The following is a 7,611-nucleotide window of genomic DNA, read 5'->3' on the forward strand; positions in this document are numbered from 1 at the left end:
ATCTTTTTGTAGAATCTGCGATTGGAGATTTGGACTGCTTTGAGGCCTACTGTAGTAAAGGAAATAACTTCATCTAAAAACCAAACGGAAGCATTCACAGACAATTCTTACTGATCATTGGATTGAACTAACAGAGCTGAACATTCCCTTAGATGGCGCAGTTTCCAAACACACTTTCTGTAGAATCTGCAAGTGGATATTTGGACCTCTCTGAGGATTTCGTTGGAAACGGGATAAACTTCCCAGAACTACACGGAAGCATTCTGAGAAACTTCTTTGTGATGTTTGCATTCAACTCACAGAGTTGAACCTTGCTTTCATAGTTCAGCTTTCAAACACTCTTTTTGTAGAATCTGCAAGTGGATATTTGGACCACTTTGTGGCCTTCCTTCGAAACGGGTATATCTTCACATCAAACCTAGACAGAAGCATTCTCAGAATGTTTCCTGTGATGACTGCATTGAACTCACAGAGATGAACAATCCTGTTGATGGAGCAGTTTTGAAACTCTCTTTCTTTGGATTCTGCAAGTGGATATGTGGACCTCTGTGAAGATTTCGTTGGAAACGGGTTCATCTTCAGAGAAAAACTAAACAGGAGCATTCTCAGAAACTGCTTTGTGATATTTGTGTTCCACTTCAGGAATTGAACTTTCCTCTTGACAGAGCAGCTCTGAAACCCTCTTTTTCTAGAATCTGCAAGTGGACATTTGGAGGGCTTTGAGGCCTGTGGTGGAAATGGAAAATCTTCACATAAATACTAGATGGAAGCATTCTCAGAAACTCCTTTGTGATGATTGCATTCGACTCACAGAGTTGAACATTCCTATAGATAGAGCAGGTTGTAAACAATCTTTTTGTAGAATCTGCGATTGGAAATTTGGACTGCTTTGAGGCCTACTGTAGTAAAGGAAATAACTTCATCTAAAAACCAAACGGAAGCATTCACAGACAATTCTTAGTGATCATTGCATTGAACTAACAGAGCTGAACATTGCTTTAGATGGCGCAGTTTCCAAACACACTTTCTGTAGAATCTGCAAGTGGATATTTGGACCTCTCTGAGGATTTCGTTGGAAACGGGATAAACTTCCCAGAACTACACGGAAGTATTCTAAGAAACTTCTTTGTGATGGTTGCATTCAACTCACAGAGTTGAACCTTGGTTTCATAGTTCAGCTTTCAAACACTCTTTTTGTAGAATCTGCAAGTGGATATTTGGACCAATTTGTGGCCTTCCTTCGAAACGGGCATATCTTCACATCAAACCTAGACAGAAGCATTCTCAGAATGTTTCCTGTGATGACTGCATTCAACTCACAGAGGTGAACAATCCTTCTGATGGAGCAGTTTTGAAACTCTCTTTCTTTGGATTCTGCAATTGGATATGTGGACCTCTGTGAAGATTTCGTTGGAAACGGGTTCATCTTCACAGAAAAACTAAACAGGAGCATTCCCAGAAACTGCTTTGTGATGTTTCTGTTCCACTTCAAGAATTGAACTTTCCTCTTGACAGAGCAGCTCTGAAACCCTCTTTTTCTAGAATCTGCAAGTGGACATTTGGAGGGCTTTGAGGCCTGTGGTGGAAAAGGAAAATCTTCACATAAAAACTAGATGGAAGCATTCTCAGAAACTACTTTGTGATGATTGCATTCGACTCACAGAGTTGAACACTCCTATAGATAGAGCAGGTTGTAAACAATCTTTTTGTAGAATCTGCGATTGGAGATTTGGACTGCTTTGAGGCCTACTGTAGTAAAGGAAATAACTTCATCTTAAAACCAAACGGAAGCATTCACAGACAATTCTTAGTGATCATTGGATTGAACTAACAGAGCTGAACATTCCTTTAGATGGAGCATTTTCCAAACACACTTTCTGTAGAATCTGCAAGTGGATATTTGGACTTCTCTGAGGATTTCGTTGGAAACGGGATAAACTTCCCAGAACTACACGGAAGCATTCTGAGAAACTTCTTTGTGATGTTTGCATTCAACTCACAGAGTTGAACCTTGCTTTCATAGTTCAGCTTTCAAACACTCTTTTTGTAGAATCTGCAAGTGGATATTTGGACCACTTTCTGGCCTTCCTTCGAAACGGGTATATCTTCACATCAAACCTAGACAGAAGCATTCTCAGAATGTTTCCTGTGATGACTGCATTCAACTCACAGAGGTGAACAATCCTGCTGATGGAGCAGTTTTGAAACTCTCTTTCTTTGGATTCTGCAAGTGGATATGTGGACCTCTGTGCAGATTTCGTTGGAAACGGGTTCATCTTCACAGAAAAACTAAACAGGAGCATTCTCAGAAACTGCTTTGTGATGTTTGTGTTCCACTTCAGGAATTGAACTTTCCTCTTGACAGAGCAGCTCTAAAACCCTCTTATTCTAGAATCTGCAAGTGGACATTTGGAGGGCTTTGAGGCCTGTGGTGGAAAAGGAAAATCTTCACATAAAAACTAGATGGAAGCATTCTCAGAAACTACTTTGTGATGATTGCATTCGACTCACAGAGTTGAACATTCCTATACATAGAGCAGGTTGTAAACAATCTTTTTGTAGAATCTGCGATTGGAGATTTGGACTGCTTTGAGGCCTACTGTAGTAAAGGAAATAACTTCATCTAAAAACCAAACGGAAGCATTCACAGACAATTCTTAGTGATCATTGCATTGAACTAACAGAGCTGAACATTCCTTTAGATGGAGCAGTTTCCAAACCCACTTTCTGTAGAATCTCCAAGTGGATATTTGGACTTCTCTGAGGATTTCGTTGGAAACGGGATAAACTTCCCAGAACTACACGGAAGAATTGTGAGAAACTTCTTTGTGATGTTTGCATTCAACTCACAGTGTTGAAACTTGCTTTCATTGTTCAGCTTTCAAACACTCTTTTTGTAGAATCTGCAAGTGGATATTTGGACCACTTTGTGGCCTTCCTTCGAAACGGGTATATCTTCACATCAAACCTAGACAGAAGCATTCTCAGAATGTTTCCTGTGATGACTGCATTCAACTCACAGAGGTGAACAATCCTGCTGATGGAGCAGTTTTGAAACTCTCTTTCTTTGGATTCTGCAAGTGGATATGTGGACCTCTGTGAAGATTTCGTTGGAAACGGGTTCATCTTCACAGAAAAACTAAACAGGAGCATTCTCAGAAACTGCATTGTGATGTTTGTGTTCCACTTCAGGAATTGAACTTTCCTCTTGACAGAGCAGCTCTGAAACCCTCTTTTTCTAGAATCTGCAAGTGGACATTTGGAGGGCTTTGAGGCCTGTGGTGGAAAAGGAAAATCTTCACATAAAAACTAGATGGAAGCATTCTCAGAAACTACTTTGTGATGATTGCATTCGACTCACAGAGTTGAACATTCCTATAGATAGAGCAGGTTATAAACAATCTTTTTGTAGAATCTGCGATTGGAGATTTGGACTGCTTTGAGGCCTACTGTAGTAAAGGAAATAACTTCATCTAAAAACCAAACGGAAGCATTCACAGACAATTCTTAGTGATCATTGCATTGAACTAACAGAGCTGAACATTCCTTTAGATGGCGCAGTTTCCAAACACACTTTCTGTAGAATCTGCAAGTGGATATTTGGACCTCTCTGAGGATTTCTTTGGAAAAGGGATAAACTTCCCAGAACTACACGGAAGCATTCTGAGAAACTTCTTTGTGATGTTTGCATTCAACTCACAGAGTTGAACCTTGCTTTCATAGTTCAGCTTTCAAACACTCTTTTTCTAGAATCTGCAAGTGGATATTTGGACCACTTTGTGGCCTTCCTTCGAAACGGGTATATCTTCACATCAAACCTAGACAGAAGCATTCTCAGAATGTTTCCTGTGATGACTGCATTCAACTCACAGAGGTGAACAATCCTGCTGATGGAGCAGTTTTGAAACTCTCTTTCTTTGGATTCTGCAAGTGGATATGTGGACCTCTGTGAAGATTTCGTTGGAAACGGGTTCATCTTCACAGAAAAACTAAACAGGAGCATTCTCAGAAACTACTTTGTGATGTTTGTGTTCCACTTCAAGAATTGAACTTTCCTCTTGACAGAGCAGCTCTGAAACCCTCTTTTTCTAGAATCTGCAAGTGGACATTTGGAGGGCTTTGAGGCCTGTGGTGGAAAAGGAAAATCTTCACATAAAAACTAGATGGAAGCATTCTCAGAAACTACTTTGTGATGATTGCATTCGACTCACAGAGTTGAACATTCCTATAGATAGAGCAGGTTGTAAACAATCTTTTTGTAGAATCTGCGATTGGAGATTTGGACTGCTTTGAGGCCTACTGTAGTAAAGGAAATAACTTCATCTAAAAACCAAACGGAAGCATTCACAGACAATTCTTAGTGATCATTGGATTGAACTAACAGAGCTGAACATTCCTTTAGATGGAGCAGTTTCCAAACACACTTTCTGTAGAATCTGCAAGTGGATATTTGGACTTCTCTGAGGATTTCGTTGGAAACGGGATAAACTTCCCAGAACTACACGGACATTCGTGAGAAACTTCTTTGTGATGTTTGCATTCAACTCACAGAGTTGAACCTTGCTTTCATAGTTCAGCTTTCAAACACTCTTTTTGTAGAATCTGCAAGTGGATATTTGGACCACTTTGTGGCCTTCCTTCGAAACGGGTATATCTTCACATCAAACCTAGACAGAAGCATTCTCAGAATGTTTCCTGTGATGACTGCATTCAACTCACAGAGGTGAACAATCCTGCTGATGGAGCAGTTTTGAAACTCTCTTTCTTTGGATTCTGCAAGTGGATATGTGGACCTCTGTGAAGATTTCGTTGGAAACGGGTTCATCTTCACAGAAAAACTAAACAGAAGCATTCTCAGAAACTGCTTTGTGATGTTTGTGTTCCACTTCAAGAATTGAACTTTCCTCTTGACAGAGCAGCTCTGAAACCCTCTTTTTCTAGAATCTGCAAGTGGACATTTGGAGGGCTTTGAGGCCTGTGGTGGAAAAGGAAAATCTTCACATAAAAACTAGATGGAAGCATTCTCAGAAACTACTTTGTGATGATTGCATTCGACTCACAGAATTGAACATTCCTATAGATAGAGCAGGTTGAAAACAATCTTTTTGTAGAATCTGCGATTGGAGATTTGGACTGCTTTGAGGCCTACTGTAGTAAAGGAAATAACTTCATCTAAAAACCAAACGGAAGCATTCACAGACAATTCTTAGTGATCATTGCATTGAACTAACAGAGTTGAACATTCCTTTAGGTGGCGCAGTTTCCAAACACACTTTCTGTTGAATCTGCAAGTGGATATTTGGACCTCTCTGAGGATTTCGTTGGAAACGGGATAAACTTCCCAGAACTACACGGAAGCATTGTGAGAAACTTCTTTGTGATGTTTGCATTCAACTCACAGAGTTGAACCTTGCTTTCATAGTTCAGCTTTCAAACCCTCTTTTTGTAGAATCTGCAAGTGGATATTTGGACCACTTTGTGGCCTTCCTTCGAAACGGGTATATGTTCACGTCAAACCTAGACAGAAGCATTCTCAGAATGTTTCCTGTGATGACTGCATTCAACTCACAGAGGTGAACAATCCTGTTGATGGAGCACTTTTGAAACTCTCTTTCTTTGGATTCTGCAAGTAGATATGTGGAACTCTGTGAAGATTTCGTTGGAAACGGGTTCATCTTCACAGAAAAACTAAACAGAAGCATTCTCAGAAACTATTTTGTGATGTTTGTGTTCCACTTCAAGAATTGAACTTTCCTCTTTACAGAGCAGCTCTGAAACCCTCTTTTTCTAGAATCTGCAAGTGGACATTTGGAGGGCTTTGAGGCCTGTGGTGGAAAAGGAAAATCTTCACATAAAAACTAGATGGAAGCATTCTCAGAAACTACTTTGGGATGATTGCATTCGACTCACAGAGTTGAACATTCGTATAGATAGAGCAGGTTGTAAACAATCTTTTTGTAGAATCTGCGATTGGAGATTTGGACTGCTTTGAGGCCTACTGTAGTAAAGGAAATAACTTCATCTAAAAACCAAACGGAAGCATTCACAGACAATTCTTAGTGATCATTGGATTGAACTAACAGAGCTGAATATTCCTTTAGATGGAGCAAATTCCAAACACACTTTCTGTAGAATCTGCAACTGGATATTTGGAACTCTCTGAGGATTTCGTTGGAAAAGGGATAAACTTCCCAGAACTACACGGAAGCATTGTGAGAAACTTCTTTGTGATGTTTGCATTCAACTCACAGAAGTTGAACCTTGCTTTCATAGTTCAGCTTTCAAACACTCCTTTTGTAGAATCTGCAAGTGGATATTTGGACCACTTTTTGGCCTTCCTTCGAAACGGGTATATCTTCACATCAAACCTAGACAGAAGCATTCTCAGAATGTTTCCTGTGATGACTGCATTCAACTCACAGAGGTGAACAATCCTGCTGATGGAGCAGTTTTGAAACTCTCTTTCTTTGGATTCTGCAAGTGGATATGTGGACCTCTGTGAAGATTTCGTTGGAAACGGGTTCATCTTCACAGAAAAACTAAACAGGAGCATTCTCAGAAACTGCTTTGTGATATTTGTGTTCCACTTCAAGAATTGAACTTTCCTCTTGACAGAGCAGCTCTGAAACCCTCTTATTCTAGAATCTGCAAGTGGACATTTGGAGGGTTTTGAGGCCTGTGGTGGAAAAGGAAAATCTTCACATAAAAACTAGATGGAAGCATTCTCAGAAACTACTTTGTGATGATTGCATTCGACTCACAGAGTTGAACATTCCTATAGATAGAGCAGGTTGTAAACAATCTTTTTGTAGAATCTGCGATTGGAGATTTGGACTGCTTTGAGGCCTACTGTAGTAAAGAAAATAACTTCATCTAAAAACCAAACGGAAGCATTCACAGACAATTCTTAGTGATCATTGCATTGATCTAACAGAGCTGAACATTCCTTTAGATGGCGTAGTTTCCAAACACACTTTCTGTAGAATCTGCAAGTGGATATTTGGACCTCTCTGAGGATTTCGTTGGAAAAGGGATAAACTTCCCAGAACTACACGGAAGAATTGTGAGAAACTTCTTTGTGATGTTTGCATTCAACTCACAGTGTTGAACCTTGCTTTCATAGTTCAGCTTTCAAACACTCTTTTTGTAGAATCTGCAAGTGGATATTTGGACCACATTTGGCCTTCCTTTCAAACGGGTATATCTTCACATCAAACCTAGACAGAAGCATTCTCAGAATGTTTCCTGTGATGACTGCATTCAACTCACAGAGGTGAACAATCCTGCTGATGGAGCAGTTTTGAAACTCTCTTTCTTTGGATTCTGCATGTGGATATGTGGACCTCTGTGAAGATTTCGTTGGAAACGGGTTCATCTTCACAGAAAAACTAAACAGGAGCATTCTCAGAAACTGCTTTGTGATGTTTGTGTTCCACTTCAGGAATTGAACTTTCCTCTTGACAGAGCAGCTCTGAAACCCTCTTTTTCTAGAATCTGCAAGTGGACATTTGGAGGGCTTTGAGGCCTGTGGTGGAAAAGGAAAATCTTCACATAAAAACTAGAAGAAGCATTCTCAGAAACTACTTTGTGATGTTTGCATTCGACTCACAG

The 7,611-nt window shown here is 40.0% G+C and overlaps 1 annotated feature.

Moving 5' to 3' along the window:
- Positions 1-7,611: part of a centromere (Linear centromere model derived predominantly from reads generated in PMID: 17803354. This region does not represent an actual centromere sequence, as long-range ordering of repeats and unmapped WGS contigs is not provided by the model. For details of model production, see http://arxiv.org/abs/1307.0035.) that runs on past both edges of the window.

The sequence above is a fragment of the Homo sapiens genome, chromosome 11, assembly GCF_000001405.40.
Source record: "Homo sapiens chromosome 11, GRCh38.p14 Primary Assembly".
NCBI lineage: Eukaryota > Metazoa > Chordata > Mammalia > Primates > Hominidae > Homo > Homo sapiens.